General features: G+C 38.8%; 1 long non-coding RNA gene across 2 annotated transcripts in view; it reads right to left on the bottom strand.

Annotated features, from left to right (window-relative positions):
- The window catches only part of LINC02284 (long intergenic non-protein coding RNA 2284), a 116044-nt gene that overhangs the window by 37357 nt on the left and 51311 nt on the right, over positions 1-27376 (bottom strand). The gene's annotated exons all lie outside the window — the stretch shown is intronic.

The following is a 27376-nucleotide window of genomic DNA, read 5'->3' as shown; positions in this document are numbered from 1 at the left end:
CATGATTCCAGGACTTTTGCAGGAGATTCTCATTTGCTTTGTTGGAGAAATTATTGTTCGGTCTGACATCTGTGGCCCCAGCATCATACCCAGTTAGTGCCTCTTTTCACCTTTGATACTGTTCAGATTTGAGTGATGAACTATGTGGCCACTCTAGTCATTACAGACCAGCTTATCCTTAAAAATATTTGACCTCAGTTGAAAACTATTTAGATGTCATAACAATTTAAACAAATATGGACATACTGTTAGGGCATGCTCAAAAAAGTCAGGCTTCAGGAGATGGAGCAAGACGGCCGAATAGAACCCTCCAGCGATGGTCTCCGCAACAGGAACACCAAATTCAACAACTATCCACACAAAAAAGCACCTTCATAAGAACCAAAAATTAGGGGAGTAATCGTAGTACCTGGATTTAACATCATATTAAGAAAAGAGATACAGAAGGGGGTAAGAAAGACAGTCTTGAATCACTTATGTCACCCCCCCACCCATCCTCCAGCAGTGGCCATGTGGCATGGAGAGAAAATCTGTGCACTTGGGGAGGGACTACGCAGCGATTGTGGGACTTTGCATTGGATCTCACTTCTGCCCTATCACAGTGGAAAACAAAACAAGGAAAAATTCAGCCAGCACCCACAGAGGGAACATTTAGATGAGCCCTAGCCAGAGGGGAATTGTCCATCCCAGCAGACAGAAACTGAACTCTGGCAAGCTCCACCACCATAGGTTAAAGTACTCTAGGATCCTAAATAAACTTGAAAGGCACTCTAGGCCACGAGGACTGCAATTCCTGGGCAAGTCCTGGTGCTATGCTGGGCTCAGAGCCACTGGACTTGGGGTGCACACAACCTAGTGAGACACCAGCTGGGAGGGCTAACAGAGTGCTTGCATAACCCCTTCCCCAACCCCAGGCAGTACAGCTCACAACTCCTTCCCTATACTTGAGGATACAAGAGGGGAAAGTAAAGAGGACTTTGTCTTACAACTTGGATACCAGCCCAGCCACAGTAGAACAGAGCACCAGGCAGAGTCATGAGGACCCCATTCCAGGCCCTAGCTCCTGGATGACATTTCTGGACACATCCTGGGCAAGAGGGGAGCCCACTGCCCTGAAAGAGAGATCTAGGCCTGGCAGCATTTACCACAAGTTGACTGAAGAGCCCTTGGGATTTGAGTGAATATCAGTGGTAGCCAGGCAGTACTTACCACATGCCTAGCCAGTAGTGGCCACAAGGAAAAACTCCTCTGCTTGAGGAAAAGGAAGAGAAGACTGGGAAACACTTTGTTTTGTAGCTTGGGTGCCAGCTCAGCTGTAGCAAAATAGAGCACAAGGTAGCTTCTGAAAGTTCCCAACTCCAGGCCTTGGTTCTGGGATGGCATCTCTGGACCCTCCTAGGGCTGGGGGGGATCTTGCCATCCTAAGGGAAGAACAGAAGCCTAGCTGGATTCACCACCTGCTGGTTGTAGAGCCCTTGGACCTTGAATGAACATAGGCTGTAGCCAGGCAGTGGTCACCAAGGGCCTTAGATGAGACACAGTGCTGTGCTGGTTACAGGTCTGACCCAGTGCAATCCCAGTGATGGTGTTTGCATCACCCCTCCCCCAGCTCCAGGCAGCTCAGCGTAGAGAAAGAGATTCCATTCATTTGGGGGAAAGTAAGAGAAAAGTATCTCTGCCTGGTAACCCAGGGATTTCTCTCAGATCTTACCCAAGGCCACCAAGGCAGTAGTACCTCTATGAGTCTGCAAGAGCCACAGCATTGTTGGGCTTGGGATAATCCCTAATCCAGATATGGCTCTAGTGACCAAAAACTTAGATCATAACACCCAAGTCTCTTTGAATACTTGGAAAGCCTTCCCCAGAAGGACAGGCATGAACATGTCTGCAAAGACTACAATAAATACCTAATTCTTCAATTCCTAGATGTGGATAAATATCCACAAGCATCAAGACCATCCAGGAAAACATAACCTAATCAAATAAACTAAATAAGGCATCAGGAGGTCAATCTCTGATAGACAGAGATACGTGACTTTTAAGATATGGAATCCAAAGTAGCTGTTTTGAGGATGCTCAATGAAATTCAAGATAATACAGAGAAGGAATTCAGAGTTCTATTAGATAAATATAACAAAGAGATTTATGTAATAAAAACAATCAAGAAGAAATTATGAAGCTCAAAAATGCAATTGATGTACTGAAAAAAGCATCAGAGTCCCTTAATAGCAGACTTGATCAGGCAGAAGAATTAGTAAGCTTGAAGATAAGTTATTTGAAAATACATGGTCAGAGGAGACAAAAGAAAACAGAATAAAAAAGAATAAAGCATGCCAGAAGATCTAGAAAATAGCCTCAAAAGGACAAATCTAAGAGTTATTGGCCTTGAAGAGGAGGTAGAGAGAGAGAGAGTATGGAAACTGTATTCAAAGAAATAATAACAGAGAACTTTCCAATACTAGAGAAAGATATCAATATTCAAGTACAAGAAGGTTATAGAACACCAAGCAGATTTAATCCCCAAAAGACTATATCAAGACATTTAATAATCAAACTCCCAAAGGTCAAGGATGAAGAAGGAATCTTGCTACTTTTAGCAAGAGAAAAGAAACAAATCACATACAAAGGAACTCCAGTACATCTGTCAGTAGACTTATCAGTGGAAACCTTACACACAAGGAGAGAGTGGAATGGCATATTTAAGGTGCTGAAGGAAAAAAACTTTTACCCTAGAATGGTATATCCAGTGAAAATATCTTTCAGGCATGAAGGAGAAATAAAGACTTTCCCAGACAAACAAAAGCTGAGGGATTTCATCAGCTCCAGACCTGTCCTACAATAAATGCTAAAGGGAGTTCTTCAACCTGAAAGAAAAGGCTATTAATGAGCAATAAGAAGTCATCTGAAGCTACAAAACTCACTAGTAATAGTAAGTACATAGACAAACACAGATTATAACACTGTAATTTTGATGTGTAAACTACTCATATCTTAAGTAGAAAGACAAAAACATGAACCTATCAAAAATAATGACTATAACAACCTTTCAAAACATAGACAGTATAATAAAGATATAAACAGAAACAACAAAAAGTTAAAAAGTGGCAGGATGCAGTTAAAGTGTCAAGTTTTTGTTAGTGTTTTCTTTGCTTGTTTGTAAGTTTGTTTGTTTATGTAATCAGTGTTGTCAGTATAAAACAATGGATTATACAATATTATTCCCAAGCATCAAATAAAATAAATACAACAGATACACAAAATATAGAAAGCAAGAATTTAAAACATACCACCAGAGGAAATCACCCTCACTAAAGGAAGGCAGAAGGGAAGGAAAAAAAAAGGAAAAGAAGACCACAAAACAACTAGAAAATAAAAGCAAAGTGGGAGAAATAAGTGCTTAGGTAATAATAACATTGAATGTAAATGGACTAAACTCTCCAATCAAAAGACAGAGAGTGGCTGAATGGATAAAAAAACAAGACCCAATGATCTGCTGCCTACAAGAAATACACTTCACCCATAAAGACACATGTCAACAGAAAACAAAAGGATGGAAAAAAATATTTCATGCCAATGGAAACCAAAAAAAGAAAAAAAAAACAACAACAACAGGAGAAGCTATATCAGACTAAATAGATTTCAAAACAAAAACTATAAAAAGAGACAAAGAAGGTAATTATATAATGATAAAGGGGTCAATTCAGCAACAGAATATCACAATTATAAATATATATGCATCAAACACTGGAGCACTCAGATATACAAAGCAAATACTGTTAGAGCTAAAGAAAGAGACAAACCCCAATACAATAATAGCTGGAAACTTCAACACTCCACTTTCAACATTGGACAGATTATCCAGACACAAAATCAACAAATATTGGACTTAATCTGCTCTATAGAACAAATAGACCTAATAGATATTTTCAGAACATTTCATCCAATAGCTATAGAATACACATTCTTTTCCTCAGCACATAGACCCTTCTCAAAGATAGACCATATATTAGGTCACAAAACAAACCTTAAAACAGCCAATAAAATAAAAATAACATTAAGGATGTTCTCCGACCACAGTGGAATAAATCTAGAAATCAATAATATGAGGAATTTTTGAAACTATACGAACACATGGAAATTAAATAATATGTTCCTGAATGACCGTTGGGTCAATGAAGAAATTAAGAAATGGAAAATCTTCTTGAAACAAGTGAAAATAAAGACACAACATATCAAAACCTATGGGATACACTGAAAACAGTACTAAGAGGAAAGTTTATAGCAATAAGCACCTATATTAAAAAAGAAGAAAAACTTCAAATAACCTAATGATATAACTTAAAGTACTAGGAAAGCAAGAACAAACCAAACCCAACATTAGTAGAAGGGAAGAAACAAAGATTAGAGCAGAAGTAAGTAAAATTGAAATGAAGAAAACAATACAGAAGATTAATGTATTAGTCCATTCTCGCATTGCTGTAAAGACATACCCGAGACTGGGTGATTTCAAAAGAAAAAAGAGGTTTAACTGACTCACAGTTCTGCATGGCTGGGAAGGCCTCAGGAAACTTACATTCATGGTGGAAGGGGAAGCAAACACGTCCTTCTTCACATGGTAGCAGGAGACAGAGGGGTACCAGCAGGGGAATCACCAGATGCTTATAAAACCATCAGATCTCATGAGAACTCACTATCACAAGAACAGGATGGGGGGAACAGCCCCCATGATTCAATTACCTCCCACTGGGTCCCTCCCATGACACATGGGGATTATGAGAGTTACAATTCAAGCTGAGATTTGGGTGGAAACACAACCAAATCATATCAATCAATGAAACAAAACGTTGGTTTTTTGAAAAGATAAAGAAAATCAACAAACCTTTGGCCACTGTAAGAAAGAAAGAAAAAAGACCTAAATAAATAAAATCAGATGAAAAAGGAGATATTAAAACCAAAACACAGAAATTGAAAGGATCATTAGAGACTATTATGAGCAACTATATGTCAATAAATGAGAAATCCTAAATAAAGTAAATAAATTCCTAGAAACCTGCAGCCTACCTAGATTGAACTATGAAGAAACCTAAAATCTGAACAGACCAAAAACAAATAATGAGACTGAAGCCATAAAAAAAATCTCTTAGCAAAGCAAATCCTAGGACCTGATGGCTTCACTGCTCAGTTTTAACAAACATTTAAAGAAGAACTAATATCAATTGTATTCAAACTATTTCAAAAAATAGAAGAGTAGGGAATACTTCCAAATTCATTCTGTGAGGCCAATATTACTCTAATATCAAAACCAAAGAAAGTACACCAAAAAAAAGGAAAGAAAGAAAACTACTAGCCAATATTCCCCATGAACATTGATGTAAAAGTTCTCAACAAAGTACTAGGAAACTGAATTCAGCAAGTACTAGGAAACTGAATTCAACAGGAAACTGAATTTAACAACACATTAAAAAAATTATTCACCATGACCAAGTGAGATTTATCCCATGAATGCAAGAACGGTTCAACATATGCAAATCAACCAATGTGATACATTGTATCAACAAAATGAAAGACAAAAGCCATACGATCATTTCAGTTGATGCTGAAAAAACATTTGATAAAATTAGTATTTCTTCATGATAAAAACAGTCAAAAAACTGGGTATAGGAGGAAAATACCCCAACAGAATAAAACAGAAAAACAGAAAAAAGAATAAAATGTGACACACCCACAGCTAGTATCATACTAAAGGAGGCAAAACTAAAAACCTTTCTTCTAAGATCTGGAAGATGACAAGGATGCCCACTTTCACCACTGCAATTCAACATAGTACTGAAGTCCTAGCTAGAGCAATCAGAAAAGAAAAAGAAATAAAGATCCTCCAAATTGGAAAGGAAGAAGTCAAATTAACCTTGTTTGCCGATAATATGATCTTGTATTTAGGAAAACCTAAAGATTCCACCAAAAAACTATTAGAACTGATTAACAAATTCAGTGAAGTTGCAGGATACAAAGTCAGTAGCATTTCTATGTGCCAACAGCTAACAAGCTAAAAAAGAAATCAAGAATGTAATCCTAATTACAATAGCTACAAATAAAATAAAATACCTAGGAATAAATTTAAGCAGTGAAAGATCTCTATAATGAAAACTATAAATCATTGATATGATAGATTGAAGAGGACACAAAAAATAAAAGATATTTCATGTTCATGGTTTGGAAAAATTAATATTGTAAAAATGTCCATGCTACCCAAAGCAATCTATAGATTCAATGCAATCCCTATCAAATTACCAATGACATTCTTCACAGAAATAGAAAAAGTAATCCTAAAATTTATATGGAACCACAAAAGACCCAGAATCACCAAAGCTATCCTGAGCAAACAGAACAAAACTGGAGGAATCACATTATCTAACTTCAAATTATACTACAGAGCTACAGTTACCAAAACAGCATGGTACTGGCATAAAAACAGATATATAGACCATGGAACAAAATAGATAACTCAGAAATAAATTTATACATTTATAGTGAAATCATTTTCAACAAAAGTGCCAAGAACATATGCTGGAGAAGGGATGGTCTCTTCAATAAATGATGCTGGGAAAACTGGATATCCATATGCAGAAGAATGGAACTAGTCCCCTATCTCTTGTCATATACAAAAATCAAACTAAAATGGATTAAAGACTTAAATCTAAGACCTCAAAATATAAAACTACTACAAGAAAACATTGGTGAAACTCTCTAGTACATTGAACTGGGCAAAGATTTCTTGAGTAATATCCCACAAGCAAAGGCAGCCAAAGCAAAAATGGATGAATGAGATCACCTTATGTTAAAAAGCTTCCACACAGTGAAGGAAACAATTAACAAAGTGAAGAGATAACCTACAGAATGAGAGAAAATATTTGAAAACTACCCATCCAGCAAGGGATTAATAACCAGAATATATAAGGAGCTCAAAATACTCAATAAGAAACCATCTAATAATATGATTAGGAAATGGACTAAAGATCTGAACAGAAATTTCTCAGAAGAAGGCATACAAATGGCAAACAGGTATATGAAAAGGTGCTCAACATCATTTATCGTCAGAGAAATGCAAATCAAAAACAATGAGAAATCATGCCACCCCAGTTAAAATGCCTTTTATGCAAAAGACAGGCAATAATGAATGCCAGTGAGGAGGTGAAAAAAAGGGAACACTTGTACACTGTCAGTAATGTAAATAAGTACAACCACTGGAGAACAGTTTGGAGGTTGCTCAAAACACTAAAACTAGAGATACCATATAACCTAGCAATTCCACTGCTAGATATACATCCAAAAGAAGGGAAAACAGTATATTGAAGAGATATCTGCACTCCCATGTTTATTGCAGTACTTTTCACAATAGCCAAGATTTGGAAGCAACCTGTGTCCATAAACAGATGAATGGATAAAGAAAATGTGGAACATATGCACAATGGAGTGCTATTCAGCCATAAAAACTAATGACATCCTGTCATTTGCAGCAACATGGATGGAACTGGAGGCCATTATGCTAGGTGGAATATGCCAGTCACTGAAAAGACAAACCGCATATTCTCACTTATTTGTGAGGGCTAAAAATTAAAACAATTGAACTCATTCTACTCTCTTGGAGAGAGAGAGAGAGTACAATAATGGTCACCAGAGTCTGGGAAGGATATGAGGAGGAAGGAAAAGAGGAGATGGTTGATGGGTACAAAAATATAGTTAGAATAAATAAGGCCTAGTATTTGATAGCACAACATCGTGATTATGGTCAACAATAACTTATTATACATTTAAAAGTAACTAAAAGAGTATAATTGGATTGTTTGTAACACAAAGAAAGGATAAATGCTTGAGGTGATGGATACCCCGTTTACCCTGATGTGATTATGCATTGAATGCCTGTATCAAAATATCTCAGGTACTCCATAAATATATACACTTACTATGTACCCACAATTAAAAAGGAAAAGTCGGGCTTCAAATATAGCTAATAATACACAGTGTGAGATGGTCAAACAGAAGCCTGGGTTAAGTCCCATTGGAGCCTACAGGGTTAAGTCAGAGTTGGGAAACCTTGGTTGTCCGACCTTGGTGGAAGTGTCAGCTATCAGTTGGCTTGGCCTTCAAATCCTGCTCTGAGGTGTGCGGATCTCTCTGGGAGTACTGGAGGGTGGAGATGGGATTGGGGAAAGAGCAGAACAAAATGTTGGAGAGTGTCTTCCAGTCTACAGCCTTGACAAATGTCAGGCTATCCAGAAATGAAGCTGGAACAGAAATAAGGAGATCAAGAGAGATCCTGGCCAAGGAGCTGTGTCTTCCCAGTTGATAGGGTGGGGACCTTTAAATCTGACTTTTCCCTTCTCTTAAAGAGCTTCCTCTACAGCATTGGGTAAGCTTTGAGAAGACATCTTCATGAAAATGAAAACTCTTTATTGTAGCTTCAATAATTTATGAATTAAGAACTATTCTCTAATCACCATAAGTTATCTTTACAAAAGGGGGGAACAACAACAAATATGTGTAAAAAAAGCTGGCTCTTTCCTCTTAACACATGTGAATAATAATAATAATCAATAGCCCTTAATTGAAAACCATAGATTTGAAACCAAATTATAGCAAAATCTAGAATCCATACTTATGTAGCAGATACACCTTTCCAGTTATGTTTAGCTTAAACTATTTGGGAGATAGCAGTTTGGCAGGGTTCTGAGCACTGGAGACTTTGACCTTGGAATAAAAAAATTACATTAGAAAAATCCACAAAGTGAATAATTAAGAATTTGCTATACATTAAGTTCATTATTCTTCAGGTTAAGGGCTATACAGACTATATAATAAAAGAAATTATTAATAATATTAAAGTCATTGAGGACATTTTCACAGTTATATTAAAAGCAGAGGCTGGATTAGTATAGGGGAGTTATTTTGTCTTCTGACACCATTTCTTCCCCTGGTCCAATGAAATGTCTTTTGAAGAACAGAGTAAAGAGTACATGTAGCCCACTACCAACGTTAAAGTGATTAGTGTGGCTCTCTCAGGGATATCCAACCTGGATTAGGCAAGACCCAAACTGAGTCACAGTCAAATGACCAACCAGAGCCAACCTGCCACCAGAACAATAAAGTCTTCTAGAATCTCATCAAAATGCTCTTCTTTTGATAGGGATTAAAGAAGAAAGAAGAAAGGAGAAGAAGAAGAGGAGGAGGAGGAGGCAAAGGTGATCTTAGCTAGAAATGGAAAGGAAAAAAAAAGAAGCTCAAAAGAAAGAAACTATGATAGTGGCTCTTAAACTTTTAGCATAAAAACATGGACGAGCATAAGAATTACTGGGGCCCAAGTCAAAAAGGCTCATTCCTGGGCTCTACTTGCAGAGATTCTGATTCAGGATTAGAATCTCGACCCAGGAATCTGGGTCTGATACAAGTGCTGTACTGGTTTTGGTGATTGGATGCCAAATGAAAAATCATGTGGCTTGGGGCTGGAAGGGAGAGGAGGAGATGATGAAACCTCAGGCCTTCTTAGCCAAAGCTTTGATAGCTCTCTTCTACCAGACAGCTGGGCATGTCAGGGTTGAAGAAATATTATCTGTCTTAAACAATTAAGTGGTTTTGTGACTAAATGGGAAGGCTCTTTGGTATTGTTCACCCAGAGCTTTTTTGGGAAGGAAAGAAAAGCTCATGACCACAGTTTGGGGTCTGCATCCCCAGAACAGCACCATTCCCACCAGGACTGAGAACTGAGATATTACTCTCCTCCAACAAACATCAACAAGCTCTGCTGAGCCTGAGCCCTCCATTAAATTAGTCTTGCCTCCTGCTCCTATATTTTTCCCACGTGAGCCTAATTCATTATCTAGTCCTTTTTTAACAGAGGATTTTATAATTCAGAGCGGAGTGGAAGATCTCTTTGGGAGCAGAGACAGTACTATTTTGGGATCCTATTTATTTTATAATTTTGCATGTAAAGAGCAGGCAGCCAGAAACACACATGATCTATTTTTTTTCCTCTATGTTCTTTCCTCCCAACAGAGTTCACATTAAAGCTAGAGAAATACTATTTTTTAAATCCCCAAGTGGTGGGCACAGCTAACAGGCAATGGAAAGCGGCATAAACACTCCTCACCCACCAATACATCCACAGGCCACATGGCATGTACACCTCACAACACACACTCTCCCACCCTCGAACTGTTTCATATTTCTTTTAAAAATGTACTTTTTTTCTCTCACACACATTCTCATGTTCTCTCACTCCCAACTTTGTAATGAAGCCCACTTTTTATTTAGTCAGGATCTTAAAGATCTTACCACAGACGATCAGATTTAATCATACAAGATGCCCCTAGTGAAGGATCTCTACAATAAAAGGTCTTGACACAAACAAAAATGAAGCAAGCTTCAGATTAGTCAGCCCCACTCTGCAGATGGTCTTTGTGGGCTTAATGAAAGTAGGTTCAGGCTGAAGACCCTGGATATACAAATTGACTAAACAAACATCAATTTGTCTACCAAAGTGCCTCTGAATCACAAATGAGTAAAATCGAGTTGTCTTGGAATCTGAGTTATTTGGCTTTAAACTTGGCTGGCAGTACCATTAACTATTGATCTGTTAATTTACAATGGTTTAGAACAAGACTTTGATGGAAGGTACTAGAGCTTTGACCATAAAGTCAATAAGTCTCTTATAAAACAACCTTACCCATGTATTATACATACACCCATCGGCAAGACTTCATCTGGGGCATTTCTCAGTCGGGCTTGAATTCACTGACTATTCATAATATTGAAAACCTCCTATTAAACCCAAGCCATTTAAATTTCTAATTATCTGACCATTATACATTACCTTAATACTGATGACTCAGTACTCTGTGCCTCTCTGATGTGCTAATAAAAAGGGAGGGTGATTCATTTTCATATGTTCCCTTTTCTAGGAAATGAATCAGAGACTTTTGCTGCAATGCCTGTGTTCAAAGTTTATTTCAAAACCAGAGTAATTGAAAAACATTTCTCTATTTGGAAAATCTAATGAAAACATTCTTATGCTAGAACGGAAACATAGATAAGCTTAACTGGGCAAGGGATGGGAGGACCACAGTGACTTGAAACTGGGAATGCCAGGAAAAAGCAGAGAGAAACGCATTATGTGTTCTGGGCAGCAGGTCCTCAGCAGGTATTTGTTCTTGCTCAACCCTTCCTTCATTTTCAGTCTTACTTTTCTTTTGCCCGCCAGACCTCTTGTCTCCTTGTTGAGAGAATGCCATCCAGGGTCTAGCTTTTTATAAGCAAAGAGTCCTGAAAGACTGACTTCCATCATTACCATATTTTGGACAGAAGCTGATTTCCCTGGGCTGAAGACATTTTGCAAGTTGGAGGAGTATTTGCATGACAAGCAACAGGAGTTTTTGGACATCTGGAGGCTTAGTTCCAACGTGACCTTAACTGTGCCCTCAATGCCACATTCATCTGCTCAGTCTAGTCTGCAAATGATCCTCTTCTGTGGACCACTGATCTTTCAAAAATCTTTTCAGATAGTTTATGAAAAGACAATGCAAATTATTAACAAAGATATGAATAAGCACGTGCTCTCATCGTAATTAAAGAACAGCAGGTTGAATCAAAATTAAGGTGTGTGTGTGTGTGTGTGTGTTTGAATTAATTTGAGAAAGATCTTTAATAATTACAACGCTAGTGTTCCAGTTAGAATGCTTCAGCTGCAATATCAACACCCAAAGCAAACTTCTAAAACAGTATGTATAATATATTATTTCACATACAAAGAAGTCCCAAGGAAGGACAGCTCCTGAGTTGGTTTAGGGTTCGACAGCATTATCAGTCTCTTATCCTCCACTGGTTTTATTCTCAGGCTGTCATAGTTCAAGGTGTATGTGCATACATAACAATGTTCTACACACAGAAGGAGACTGTTCTGGTCTATTTTTAAGAATGAAAAACATTTACCTAGTAAACGTCACAGTTCATCTCATTAGCCCCAGCTCGGTCACGTGCCCATCTCTAAACCAATCTCTAGTGAGAGAAATGAGATTAGCAAATTTGGCTTAGGCTGATAAGGATTTATTCTCAGAGGAAGCATGGACATCTGAAGAAATTAAGCCACTAGTAACAGGGAAAAGGGGGAAATAGTGACTCTTGGGTAGGTAACCTGTGGTGTCTGCTCTGGCTGCCAAGGATATAGTAAAATGGGCCACATGCAGCTGGTAGACATTCTGGAAAGTAATCTGGCACTATATACTAGGATACTTAAAAGCATCCATACACATTGACAAAGTAATTTGACTTCCAGAAATAAAGCCCATGGAAGGTGAACCTAAATGTAGATAAAGCTTTGTGCTTAGAGGAGTTCATTGTAGCACCTTTATAAGGGAAAGAAGGAAGGAAGGAAGGAAGGAGAAAGAGAGGGGGAAAGAAAGAAGGCAGGAAGAAAGAGGGAAGAATGGAGGTAAAGACAAAGAAAGAAGGAAGAGATAGAGGGAGGGAAAGAAAAGGAAGGAAGGAAGGAAAGGAAGGAAAAGAAGAAGGAAGGAAGGACTTAAGGATCTAATAATAAGTTACATAATTACAGTACATCTGTTTGATTAACTACTCTTTGGTATGTTATTTTTAATATATTTTTTTAGAGACAGGGTTTCACTATGTTGCCCAGGCTGGACTTGAACCCCTAGGCTTATGTGATCCTCCCGTGCAGCTGGAACTACAGCCGTGTGCCACTGCACGTGGCTTCTCTAGCATTTTAAAATGAGGTTTACAAAGAGTTTTTCAGAATGTGGCAAAATGCTCATATTATAGTGCTAAGCAAGAAAAGCAAGATGTAAAATTATATATATAAAACGCTATGTAAAATATTAATAGCAACTATCTTCTCAACATCTACCGTGAGCTGGGAACTTATACACTGTCTCTAACCTTGACAACAACCCTGAAATGTAGGTATTTTTATGCCTGGTTTGCAAATAAGGCAACTAAGGCTAAAAGATGTTCAGTAGGTTTCCAGAGGCACTCAGATATCAAATGGCAGAACAAGGATTTGAGTCTAGGCCTCTCTGGCTGTTTGGAACACAGTCTCACAGTTGAGGAGCAAACTTCTTTCTTTCCCCTTGGTTCTCTTCTCCCTTCTCTGCAGCTGATGGATATGAATAAAATATCCTCAAGTTCAGCTACATGAATATGTCTTGTTTAGGAAGTATAAACATTCACAAATATTTAGTGAAGTGCAATTGAATAAGGACAATGGGAAATTAGAGGGGCCAGGGGTGGGGCAAACAGATAGGAAAGTGAGAAGAAGGAAAGATACGTGACTGGAGTGACTACTGAGAACTCAGAAGTGACTCTCTGATGCCCTTTCAGCTGATTCCAAGTGCTTCATTCAGTACACAGGCCTGCTAGTCAAGGACGATCCACACCAATTCGTCAAGACCCTCTCTCAGGACTCAGGTGCTTATTTAGATGTTGAAGCCCAGCCTAATTCACATGCTAATCAGAAATTTCTTCTACCAGGGCCTGCCTGATCAAGAGGGGCGGGTACATATTATGATGGCAGGAATAAAGGTAGTGATGGATACATCTGTGAAAGAAGGGGGTGGGGGGTCAATACATTGGAAATCACACATTATTTCGTAGCATAAAATTCACAGGCCCAAGATAAAGGTATACTTGCAACTAATAAGTGAAAAAAATATTGAATTAAGGAGAAAGTAAAAGGAATGATGATCCTCTGGACATCTGCTTCTGTGGTTTTTCACTTCAGTGCTACCTCTGCTATTAAGAACCCAGTGTGCACATTGGCTGAAGACAATCTGTTGTTGCAGAATTTAAATACAGACATATTATGTTTTCATATTTATACTGTGACCAAGAGAATCCTCATTCAGGCCTCAGCCTTGTATTTTTGCTACCATTTCCAAACAGGAGGTGAAAGCCCTGCTGTCACGGTGCTAGGGTTATGGAATAATTAACATCCACAGGTCCCCTGGATCCCTTGTTTATATGAGAAATGGAAGAATAAAACAACCATGCAAAAATAATGAATATCACAGCTAATTTTGGAAAGCCCATTAAAATAACAAATCAGCAATGTCTTCAACAAAAATCACTGGAGATAAGAATCATACAGAGGACTGTTTCTTTTGCAAGAAACAATACATACTTTGCAAAGTATACATTTTTAATGCTGAGGTTTTTAAAAACTGATTTAATCTTTCATTTAATATTTTCAGGTTTATTTACTATGCTTGATATTTCATACCTAGCAATACATTAAATACGGGAAGAGATGAAATTTTCGTGTGGCCAAATCATCCGCTTGGACATTTTTACATGCTTTGTCTGTGCAAGCTTCCCAGTCAGCCCTGAGCAGGCAACATGCCACCCTGGTAACCTAACTCCTTTGCTTGAAATCCTTTATCTTCATAGCCTTCCCCAGTCATCATCCCAGACATCATAAGAAGCAGCCCGACAGTTCTAGGGCTCCCTACTGAAAGCCCAAGGAAAAATTATTTGGTGCTTAGGCAAGCAAGATAACTTCTGGCTCCAAACTCTAGGGGGTCCTCCCTTATTCTTGCCCTTGAAAGGAGCTTTCTCTTGGCTGGTGAAGGTCATTGCTAGGAGGAGACCTAGGGCTAGGGGCTTGCTGAGGCAAAATGGTAACCAGAAGAGCTGGAACAGAAAGAACCAAGAAGAAAGGCAAACCAGGTTTGAGGAACTTGCCAAAGGAGAAGGTATGAGACCAGATCCACCTTCAGATCCAAGGGGGCACATTTAGGGCCAGGAGCAGAAAACAAGGCTAAAAGATCAAAAGTCACTACATAGTAGGAGGGGCCAAGATGACCAATTAGAATCAGCTACGGTCTGTGGCACTCAGGAGAGGAATGAAAGGAGTGAGTGAATTCAGCACCTTCAACTGAAATATCCAGGTTCTCACATTGGGACTGACAAGGCAAATAATTCTACCCACAGAGAATGAAGAAAAGCAGGGTGGGGTGATGGCCCACCCAGGAGTGGCATGGAGCCAAAGGAACCTTCACCCCCAGCCAAGGGAAGCAGTGAGTGATTGTGCAACCCTGTCTGGGAAATCATGCTTCTCCCATGGATATTCACAACCTGTGGATCAGGAGATCCCCTTATGAGCCCACTCCACCAGGGCCTTGGGTCCAATACAGAGTTGTGGAGTCTCAGCAGAGCAGCTGCTCAGGCACACACAGAGACCCAGGAGTTTTATATACTCTGGCCCCAGGTTCCTCAGCAAGGTGGGAGATCCATATGTAGATATACTTAGGAAGGGGGCTGAATCCAGAGAGCCAAGCAGCATCATTCTGCAGGCCCTACTTCCATGGCACCTCACAAGTTAAGACCCACTGACTTGGAATTCCAGCCAGCCAATGGCAACAGGCTGGAGTCTGCCTGAGATGGGACTGATATCCTGGGGGAAGGGGTGGCCACCATCTCTGTGGTTTGGTAGCCGCAGTCATTGCAGTCTGTGGGCTCTAGAGAATAAAAATGGTCTGGAAGAAGAAGGGCACCCCACAGTGCAGCACAGATGCCTTGCCAGATTGTGGCCAGACTGTTTCTTTAAGTGGAACCCTGATCCATTCCTCCTCACAAGGCAGGACCTCCATGTGTGGGCTTCAGCCACTCCAGCAAGGGTTCTACAGACAGAACTCTGATCTCTCCCTAAGATGGAGCTCTCTGGGGGAGGGGCGGCTGCCACCTCTATAGTTTGGTCAACTCAGTCATACCAGCCCATTGGCTCTGGAGAAGACAAACAGTCTTGATGAAGAAGGGTCCCCCCAGTGTGGCACATTTGCTCTACCAAAAAGCAGCTGAATTGCCTCTTTAGGCAGGTCCCCGATCCCATTTCTCCTAACTGGGTGAGACCTCCCAACAGTGGTCTTCAGACACCTCTTATAAGAGTGTTTGGACTGGCAGCAAGTCAGTAACCCCCAGAGATGAAGCTTTCAGAGGAAGGAGCAGGCTACCATCTTTGCTGTTTTGCAGTCTTCACTAGTGATACCTTTAGGTATGGGAAAAACCAAGGCAATTAGGATCTGGAACAGACCACAGCAAACCACAACAGCCCTATGGAAGTGTGGCCTGACTGTTAAAAGAAAATCAAACAGAAAACAACAACAACATCAACAAAAAAGACCCCATAAAAACCCCATTCAAAGGTCAGCAACCTCAAAGATCAAAGGTAGATAAGCCCACAAAGATGAGAAAGAATCAACTCAAAAATGCTGAGAACTCAAAAAACCAGAGTGCCTTTTCTCCTCCAAATTACTGTAATATCTCTCCAGCAAAGACACAAAATTGGGCTGAGGCTGAGATAGCTGAATTGACAGACGTAGGCTTCAGAAAGCGAGTAATAATGAACTACTCTGAGCTAAAGGAGCATGTTATAACCCAGTGCAAAGAAGCTAAGGACCACGATAAAACAATACAGGAGGTGATAACCAGAATAGCCAGTTTAGAGAGGAACATAACTGACCTGTTGAAGCTGAAAAACACAATACAAGAACTTCACAATGCAATCACAAATGTCAATAGCAGAATGGACCAAATGAGGGAAAGAATCTCAGATCTTGAAGACTATCTTTCTGAAATAAGAGAGGCAGACAAAAATAGAGAAAAGAGAGTAAAGAGGAATGACCAAAGCCTCTGAGAAATAGGGAATTGTGTAAAAAGATTGAACCTATGACTGATTAGAATACCTGAAACAGACAGGGAGAATGGAACAAGTTGAAAACATACTTTAGGATACCATCCAGGGGAACTTCCCCAACCTAGCAAGACAAACCAACATTCAAATTCCGGAAATGCAGAGAATACCAGTAAGATACTCCATGAGAAGAAGATCCACCCCAAGACACATAATCATCAGATTTTCCAAAGTCAAAATAAAAGAATAAACATTAAGGGCAGCTAGAGAGAAAGGTCAGGTCATCTACAAAGGGAAGCCATCAAACTAACAGTGCACATCTCAGCAGAAACCCTACGAAGCCAGAAGAGATTGGGGGCCAATATTCAACATTTTTATTTTTTTAGACAGAGCCTCACTCTGTCACCTGAGCTAGAGTGCAGTGGCATGATCTCAGCTCAGTGCAACTTTTGCCTCCTGGGTTCAAACAATTCTCGTGCCTCAGCCTCTTCAGTAGCTGGGACTACAGGTGCACACTGCCACTCCCAGCTAATTTGTGTATTTTTAGTAGAGACAGGGTTTCACCATGTTGGCTAGGCTGGTCTCGAACTTCTGACCTCAGGTGATCCTCCCCACTGCCACCCCCACCTCCCAAAGTGCTGAGATTACAGGCATGAGCCACCATGCCCGGCCTCAACATTCTTAAAGAAAATAACTTCCAACCCAGAATTTCATATCTGGCCAAGCTAAGCTTTAAAAGCAAAGGAGAAATAAGATCATTTTCAGACAAGCAAATGCTGCAGGAACTCATCACCACCAGGCCTGCCTTGCAAGAGCTCCTGAAGGAAGCACTAAATATGCAAAGGAAAAACCATTACCAGCCACTACAAAAACACACTGAGGTACACAGACCAGTGACACTATAAAGCAACTGAATAAACAAGTCTGCAAAATAACCAGATAGCATCATGATGACAGGATCAAATTCACACATAAAAATACTAACCGTAAATGTAAACGGGCTAAATGACCCAATTAAAAGACACAGAATGGCAAGCTGGATAAAGAGCCAGGACCCATTAGTATGCTGTCTTCAAGAGACCCATCTCATGTGCAAAGACACATATAGGCTCAAAATAAGGAGACGGAGAAAAATTTATCAAGCAAATGGAAAACAGAAAAAGCAGAGGTTGCCATTCTAGTTTCTGAAAAAACAGAGTTTAAACCAGCAAAGAGCAAAAAAGACAAAGAAAGACTTTACATAATGGTAAAGAGTTCAATTAAATAAGAAGACTTAACTATCCTAAATATATATGCACCCAAGACAGGAGCACCCAGATTCATAAAGCAAGTTCTTAGAGACCTACAAAGAGACTCAGACTCCCACACAATAATAATGGGAGACTTTAACACCCCATTGACAATATTAGACAGATCATTGAGACAGAAAATTAACAAAGATATTCAGGACTTGAACTCAGCTCTGGATTAAGTGGACCTGATAGATATCTACAGAACTCTCCACGCAAAAACAATAGAATATACTTTCTTCTCATCATCACATGACACTTACTCAAAAATTGATCACATAATTGGAAGTAAAACACTTCTCAGCAAATGCAAAAGAACTGAATTAATAACAGGCTCCCAGAATACAGTGCAATCAAATTAGAACTCAAGATTAAGAAATTCACTCAAAACCACACAACTACATGGAAATTGAACAACTGGCATCTGAATGACCCTTGGGTAAATAATAAAATTAAGGCAGAAATCAAGAAGTTACTTGAAACTAATGAGAACAAAGAGACAATATACCAGAATCGCTGGGACATAGCTAAAACAGTGTTAAGAGGAAAATTTACAGAACTAAATGCCCACATCAAAAAGCTAGAAAGATCAAGTTAACAACCTAACATCTCACCTAAAAGAAACAGAGAAACAAGAGCAAACAGACTCCAAAGCTAGCAAAATACAAGAAATAACCAAGATCAGAGCTGAACTGAAGGAGATAAAGACATGAAAAACCCTTTAAAAAATGAATCCAGGAGCTGGTTTTTTTTTTTGAAAAAATTAATAAAATAGATTGCTAGCTAGACTAATGAAGGAGAAAAGAGACAAGAATCAAACACAATCAGAAATGATAAGAGGGATATCACCACTGACTCCACAGAAATACAAACAACCATCAGATAATAGTATAAATACCTGTATGCACATAAACTAGAAGAAAAGGATAAATTCCTGGACACATACACCCTCCTGAGATGGAACCAGGAAGAAATTGAATCCCTGAATAGACCAATAATGAATTCTGAAATTGAGGCAGTAATAAATAGTTTGCCAAGCAAAAAACAAAACAAAACAAAACAATAAAAAGGCCCAGAACCAGACAGATTCATAGCAGAATTCTACCAAAGATACAAAGAAGAGCTGGTACCATTTCTACTAAAACTATTCCAAAAAATTGGAAAGGAGAGACTCTTCCCTAACTCATTCTATGAGGCCAGCATCATCCTGATACAAAAACCTGGAAGAGATATAACAAAAAAAACCAAAAATTCAGGTCAATATCCCTGGATGAACATGGATATAAAACTTCTCAATAAAATACTGGCAAACTGAATCCAGCAGCACATCAAAAAGCTTATCCACCACAATCAAGTTGGCCTCACCTCCAGGATGCAAGGTTGGTTCAACATGTGCAAATCAGTAAATTTGATTTATCACATAAATAGAACTAAAGACAAAAAATGCATAATTATCTCAATAGATACAGAAAAGACCTTCAATAAAATTCAACATCACTTCATGTTAAAAACTCTCAATAAATTAGGTATAGAAGGAATATACCTCAAAATAATAAGAGCCATTTATGACAAACCCACTGGGAGCATTTCCCCTTGAAAAATCAGCACAAGACAAGGATACCCTATTTTCATCACTCCTATTCAACATAGTATTAGAAGTTCTGGCCAGGCCAATCAGGCAAGAGAAAGAAATAAAGAGTATTCAAATAGGAAGAAAGGAAGTGAGACTTTTTGCAGATAATATGATCCTATATCTAAAAAACCGCATTGTCTCAGCCCAAAAGCTTCTTAATCTGATAATCAACTTCAGCAACATCTCAGGATACAAAATCATTATGCAAAAATCACTAACATTCCTATACACCAACAATAGGTGAGCAGAGGGCCAAATCATGAATGAATTCCCATTCACAATTGTTACAATAATAATAAAATACCTAGGAATACAGATCACAAGGGAAGTGAAAGACTTCTTCAAGCAGAACTACAAACCACTGCTCAAAGAAATCAGAGAGGACATAAACAAATGGAAAAACATTCCATGCTCACAGATAGGAAGAATCAGTATTGTGAAAATGGCCATACTGCCCAAAGTAACTTATAGATTCAATGCTTTCGCATTAAATTAACCCTGACAGTCTTCACAGAATTAGAAAAAAAAATATTTAGAAATTCATATGGAACCAAGAAAAGCCTGAATAGCCAAGACAATCCTAAGCAAAAAGAACAAAGCTGGAAGCATCTTGCTACCTGACTTCAAACTACTACAAGGCTAGAGTAACCAAAACAGCATGGTACTGGTACAACAACATACACAGACCAATGGAAGAGAATAAATAACTCAGAAATAAGACCACACACCTACTACAACCATCTGATCTCCAACAAATCTGATAAAAACAAGCAATGGGGAAAATATTCCCTATGTAATAAGTGATGCTGGGAGAACTGTCTAGCCAAATGTAGAAAATTGAAACTGGACCCCTTCTTTACACCACATACAATCATTAACTCAAGATAGATTAAAGACTTAAATGTAAAACCCAAAACTATAAAAACCATAGAAGAAAATCTAGGCAATACCATTCAGGACATAGGCATGGGCAAATATTTCATGATAAAAATGCCAAAAGCAACTGCAATGAAAGCAAAAATTGACAAATGAAGTCTAATTAAACTAAAGTGCTTCTGCACAGCAAAAGAAACTATCATCAGAGTGAACAGACAACCTACAGAATGGGAGAAAATTTTTGCAATCTATCCATCTGACAAAGGGCTAATATCCAGAGTCTACAGGGAACTTAAATTTACAAGAAAAAAACAAACAACCCCATTAAAAAGTGGGCAAAGGACATGAACAGACACTTCTCAAAAGAAGACATACATGAGGCTGACAAACATATGAAAAAAAGCTCAACATCACTGATCATTAGAGAAACGCAAATCAAAACCATAATGAGATACCATCTCATGCCAGTCAGAATGGCATTAAAAGTCAAGAAACAACAGATGCTGGGGAGGTTGTGGAGAAAAAGAAACACTTTTACACTGATGGTGGGAATTAAAATTAGTTCAACCATTGTGGAAGACAGTGTGGCAATTCCTCAAAGACCTAGAGGTAGAAACACCATTTGACCCAGCAATCCCATCATTGAGTATATATCCAAAGGAATACAAGTCATTCTATTATAAAGATACAGGCATGTGTATGTTCATTAAAGCGCTATTCATGATAGCAAGGACATGGAATCAACTCAAATGCCCATCAATGATAGACTGGATAAAGAAAATGTGGTACATATACACCATGGAATATTATGCAGCCATAAAAAGGAACAAGATCATGTCTTTTTCAGGGACATGGATGGAGTTGGAAGCCATTATCCTCACAAACTAATAGGAACAGAAAACCAAACATGGCATGTTCTCACTTATAAGTGGGCACTGAATGATGAGAAGACATGGATACATGAGAGGGAACAACACACACTTGAGTCCTGTTGCTGGCAGGAGGGAGAGCATCAGGGAAATAGCTAATGGATGCTGGGCTTAATACCTAGGTGATGGGATTATCTGTGCAGCAAACCACCGTGGCACATGTTTAGCTATGTAACAAGCCTGCATATCCTGCACATATACCCCTGAACTGAAAAGCTGAAGAAAAAAAAAAGAAGAAAGCTGAAATATAAAACAAAAAAGTCACTAGGTAGTCACATCACAGGGATACAGCAGGAGTGGTGGGAAAAGGTAGGAATTAATCAAAAAGATTCAGAACTGCGTTCTCTAACCCTCCTATCATATGCCAGCTATGCAGAGGTTGGGAAAATCCAGCTAATTTAAAAGCCCAGTGCTCTGAAAGAAGACCTTTAAAACCACATGCAAATAGCCTAGTGCTAGTACTCAGCACAGATAATGTTCCAGAGAAGACTGAAATTGGCTGCTGTCATCCAGAAGTTGTCGTCTTTGTCCTTACAGTTTTTGTCTCCCTGAGGTAGCCCTGAAATAGAAATGTGTGGGTAAATGAGCTTTGGTAACAGAAGATTGCAGTGCACAGTGCATTCAGGGCCTGAGCTGAATAAGTATTCTGTCAACTTTTGCCTATGTAAGTTGTCAGAAGCAGTGACACCTTTGACATTTCCACCTCAGAATGGTATATTACCATAAAATGACTGCCACTCCTGATGAGCCGTTGGCTGGGAGGTAAATGGAAGTACCAGGTATGGAATCTGAGAGCCAGGGCCATTCCTCAAAGGGTACAGACCAGAGGGGTCCCCTCATTATTTCTATCCCTGTGGGATCTGTTGTAAAGGAGCAGGGACAGCTGCCTTGACAACATACAGGGTTAAAAGATACATAACAAAGAAGGGAGGAAGGTTGGGAGGCAGAGAAGCAGGGACCAGGTGAGCCAGCCTCAGCTCCTTATCAAAATGATTTGGAACCTGAGGAATCTACACACAATTCTTCCTGATGTTTTCAGGCCTTGTTTCAGGAGAGCACTGAGCACCGTGTCACTTCTTGTCCTCTAATAACCCTATACAGGCAAGGGTTTGCTTCATAGAGTTCAGATCTGGACTTCTCTTTACATCAGGAATGGGGAGCTTTTGGGACATGACTCTTAACAGTCATGTGTTGACCTCTTACTAGTTCCAAAGAGCTGCCTGCAAATCCCAATCTGCTACAGGAGGATTGTTTAAAATCAACTTTTAACTTTAATATTAGGTTTATAGAAAAGTTGTTAAGGTAGTACAGGGAGTTCCCCTATACCTCACACCCAGTTTCACCCATTGTTAATATCTTACATTATTAGCATAAAATAAACTAATGAGCCAATATTGATACATTATTAATAACTAAAGTCCACACTTGCTTCAAATGTCTGTAGTTTTCATCTAATGTCCTTTTTCTAGTCTAAGATTCCTTCCAGGATACCACATTACATTTAGTTACCACGTCTGCAAGTAGAATCTTAAATTTAAAAAAAAGTGTGAAATCACTTAAGCGTTTTTTATTCTACACTCCTACCTGGAATAAACACCTTACTCACCCATAAAGGAGAAATTATTTCTAAGATACCTTTAGGCAACAACCTATATTCCTAAAATAAAATAAATAATTTGAAGCAATTTCAAATTTTCCTCTTACTATACTTAGGCAAGTCAGGTCTCAGAAGGAGAGTAAGGAAGGCCTCCAGTGAGAAACAGCAGACTTTTCTGTATCTCTCTTTGTTTTATAAATACCTCATTGTTACTTTTCAGCCCCTCTTGTTTCCTTCCCTTCCCACCCAGGTGCTCCATAAGAATATCTTGGGTTTGTTTCAAGTTCATGATTTGAGATGCTGCTTTCCAGGTTTCAAATTTCAAGAGGTTCAAAGGTTAGAAGTTATCCCTCATCTGAAGAAACATGAAATTCCACAACAAGCATGATTTTCCCAAATACATACTGAATGGCCAAATAAGCAAACAATGAGGTCTGAACAGAAGGAGTTAACAAAGATCACTCATTCAAAATGTCTACAGAGCACTGTGCCTGGTCTCAGGAAGTGTTTATCTGGGGAAATTGAGGACTGCTTTCAACAGAATACTTTTCTTTCATATTAGATGTGTTAAAGCAAACTAAATATGGCCTGAGAAGGACTCTGTACTTCTATATTTGAGTCCTTGTGGATGAACTGTAACCTGGCTAAATAAGCAGACAAAATTGAGAACCTAACTTAGTGGTATGCATCTGTAACAATAGCTAAGTCTTGGCCAATCCCAGCAGCTGTACTTCAACCAGTCATACACTGCTGAGTGTTCCAACTGTGTTCAAATAAGGCATACACTGAGCTGTGACCAATCCAGCTGTTCTGTACCTCACTTCCAAATTTCTGTATGTCACTTCCCTTTTTTGTCTACAACTCTCTTCCACCACATGGCTGTGCAGGAGTCTGTGAATCTACTGTGATTCTGGGGGCTGCCCGATTCACAAATCATTCATTGCTCAATTAAACTCCTTTAAATTTAATTCTGCTGAAGTTTTTCTTTTATCAGATGGCAGAGTTTTGGAAAACATAAAATAAACATTAGAAATACCTTGAACCTACGCTTCAACTGTACATTGTCAGTGAAGAGAAATAAAATAGGTGAATACTTTAAATTATGAAATAAATTTAATGGTGGATACAAACGAATATGAATACATCTTCAAAAGAAAAATAATTATTGATGCAACACAAAAAAATAAACCAAGGAATGAAGAATCAGGGGAATTGTTTCATTCCCTTCTCATAGTGGATGCTTCACTAAGAAACAAATGTGTGATAAGATACAATTTATTATGATGAGAGTGGTCCTTGACTTCCCATCTTCTCTGATCTTTCTAAAAGATGCCTGCCATTGCCATTTCAATTTTCCTCTCTCCATTCCCTCCCTTGAGGAGAGTTTATCTCTGCCAGACAAGTTCTTCTGGCACTTTTGATGTTGGATCAAAAAATAGATGTTGTATCAGAAATAGATTAGAGAGACAGAAGGAGCATTGTAAGAGCCTCTGGAAAGATGTGTAGGGACTACACGTAAGTGAAGAGCTGAACAAGAGGGGAGACAGTGAAAGCTTCATGGGCTGAGATAAAGGTAATGTTTTGGTTTCAGTTTTTCCGGTAAGGCCTTGGGTAACCGACAGATGGAAAGTGAGGAAAGGGTACTTAAGGTTGTTGCTTCAATCCTCTTTGATTTCCTTTAAGAGATTCAAGGAAACAATACAAATTTTTCTTGGGCAGGGCTTCCTTAAATGTGCCTGTCATAGGTTGCAACTGACTGGGGCCAGCGTTGTGGGCAGTAAAAGAATTTACCAAGATAGTAGTGAGTTAAAGAAAGCAGGTTTTTCAGCAGAGGGGCTTGAGTGTTAGAGGAAAATTAACAAACAGAAGGGAATAGCATCAACATCAACAAAAAGGATGTCCACACAAAAACCCCATCTGAAGGTCACCAACACCAAAGGGCAAAGGTAGACAAACCCAGGAAGATGAGGAAAAACCAGCACAAAAGGCTGAAAATTCCAAAAACCAGAATGCCTCTTCTCCTCCAAAGGATCACAACTCCTTGCCAGCAAAGGAACAAAACTGGACGGAGAATGAGTTTGATGAATTGAAAGGAGTGGGCTTCAGAAGGTGGGTAATAACTCCTCCGAGCTAAAGGAGCATGTTCTAACACAATGCAAGGAAGCTAAGAACCTTGAAAAAAGGTTAGAGGAATTGCAAACTAGAATAACCAGTTTAGAGAAGAACATAAATGACCTGATGGAGCTCAAAAACACAGCACAAGAATGTCGTGAAGCATACACAAGTATCAATAGCTGAATCAATCAAGTGGAAGAAAGGATATCAGAGATTGAAGATCAACTTAATGAAATAAAGAATGAAGACAAGATTAGAGAAAAAAGAATGAAAAGGAACAAAGCCTCGATGAAATATGGGACTCTGTGAAAAGACCAAATCTATGTTTGATTGGTGTACCGGAAAGTGACGAGGACAATGGAACCAAGTTGGAAAACACTCTTTAGGATATTATCCAGGAGAACTTCCCCAACCTAGCAAGACAGGCCAACATTCAAATTCAGGAAATACAGAGAACACCACAAAGATATTCCTCAAGAAGAGCAACCCCAAGACACATAATCATCAGATTCAACAAGGTAGAAATGAGGGAAAAAATGTTAAGGGCAGCCAGATGGGAAGGTCGGATTACCCAAAAAGGGAATCCCATCAGACTAACAGTGGATCTCTCTTCAGAAATGCTACAATCCAGGACAGAGTGGGGGCCAATATTCAACATTCTTAAAGAATTTTCAACCCAGAATTTCATATCCAGCCACACTAAGCTTCAAAAAAGGAGACATAAAATCCTTTACAGAAAAGCAAATGCTGAGAGATTTTTGTCACAACCAAGTCTGCCTTACAAGAGCTCCTGAATGAAGCACTAAATATGGAAAGGGAAAACCGGTACCAGCCACTGCAAAAACACACCAAATTGTAAAGACCATCAACACTATGAAGAAACTGCATCAACTAATGGGCAAAATAACCAGCTAGCATCATAATGACAGGATCAAATCCACACATAATAATATTAACTTAAATGTAAATGGACTCAATGCCCCAGTTAAAAGACACACACTGGCAAATTGCATAAAGAGTCAAAACCCATCAGTGTGCTGTATTCAGGAAACCCATCTCACATGCAAAGACACACATGGGCTCAAAATAAAGGGATGGAGAAATATTTACCAAGCAAAAAAACAAAAAAAAAGGGGGGGGTTGCAACCCTAGTCTCTGATAAAACAGGCTTTAAACCAACAAAGATCCAAAAAGACAAAGAAGAGCATTACATAATGGTAAAGGGATCAATTCAACAAGAAGAGCTAACTATCCTAAGTATATATGCACCCAATACAGGAGCACCCAGATTCATAAAGCAAGTTCTTAGAGACCTACAAAGAGACTTAGACTCCAACACAATAATAGTGGGAGACTAACACCCCACTGTCAATATTAGATCAACAAGACAGAAAATTAACAAGGATATTCAGGACTTAAACTTAGCTCTGGACCAAGTGGACCTAATAGACATCTGCAGAACTCTCCACCCCAAATCAAGAGAATACACATTCTTCTCAGCACCACATCACACTTATTCTAAAATTGATCACATAATTGGAAGTAAAACACTCATCAGAAAATGCAAAAAAAAAAAAAAAAACGGAAATCATAACAAACAGTCTCTCAGACCACGGTGCAATCAAATTAGAATTCAGGATTAAGAAACTCACCCAAAACCACACAATTACATGGAAACTGAACAACCTGCTCTTCAATGACTACTGGGTAAATAATGAAATTAAGGCAGAAATAAATAGTTCTTTGAAACCAATGAGAACAAAGACACAACATACCAGAATCTCTGGGACACAGCTGAAGCATGTTTTTAGAGGGAAATTTATAGCACTAAATGCCCACAGGAGAAAACGGGAAAGATCTAAAATCAACACCCCAACATCACAATTAAAAGAACTAGAGAAGCAAGGGCAAACAAATTCAAAACTAGCAGAAAACAAGAAATAAGTAAGATCAGAGCAGAACTGAAGTAGATAGAGACATGAGAAATCCTACAAAAAGTCAGTGAATCCAGGAGCTGTTTTTTGGAAAGATTAACAAAATAGATAGACCTCTAGCAAGACTAATAATGAAGGAAAGAGAGAAGAATCAAATAGACACAATAAAAAATGATAAAGGGGATATCACCACTGATCCCACAGAAATACAAACTACCATCAGAGAATACTATAAACACCTCTATGAAAATATACTAAAACATCTAGAAGAAATTGATAAATTCCTGGAAACACACACCCTCCCAAGACTAAA

This window comes from Homo sapiens, chromosome 14, assembly GCF_000001405.40.
Source record: "Homo sapiens chromosome 14, GRCh38.p14 Primary Assembly".
Classification (NCBI taxonomy): Eukaryota; Metazoa; Chordata; class Mammalia; order Primates; family Hominidae; genus Homo; species Homo sapiens.
The sequence above is the reverse complement of the archived record's forward strand: the minus strand, read 5'-3'. Positions and strand labels throughout refer to the sequence as shown.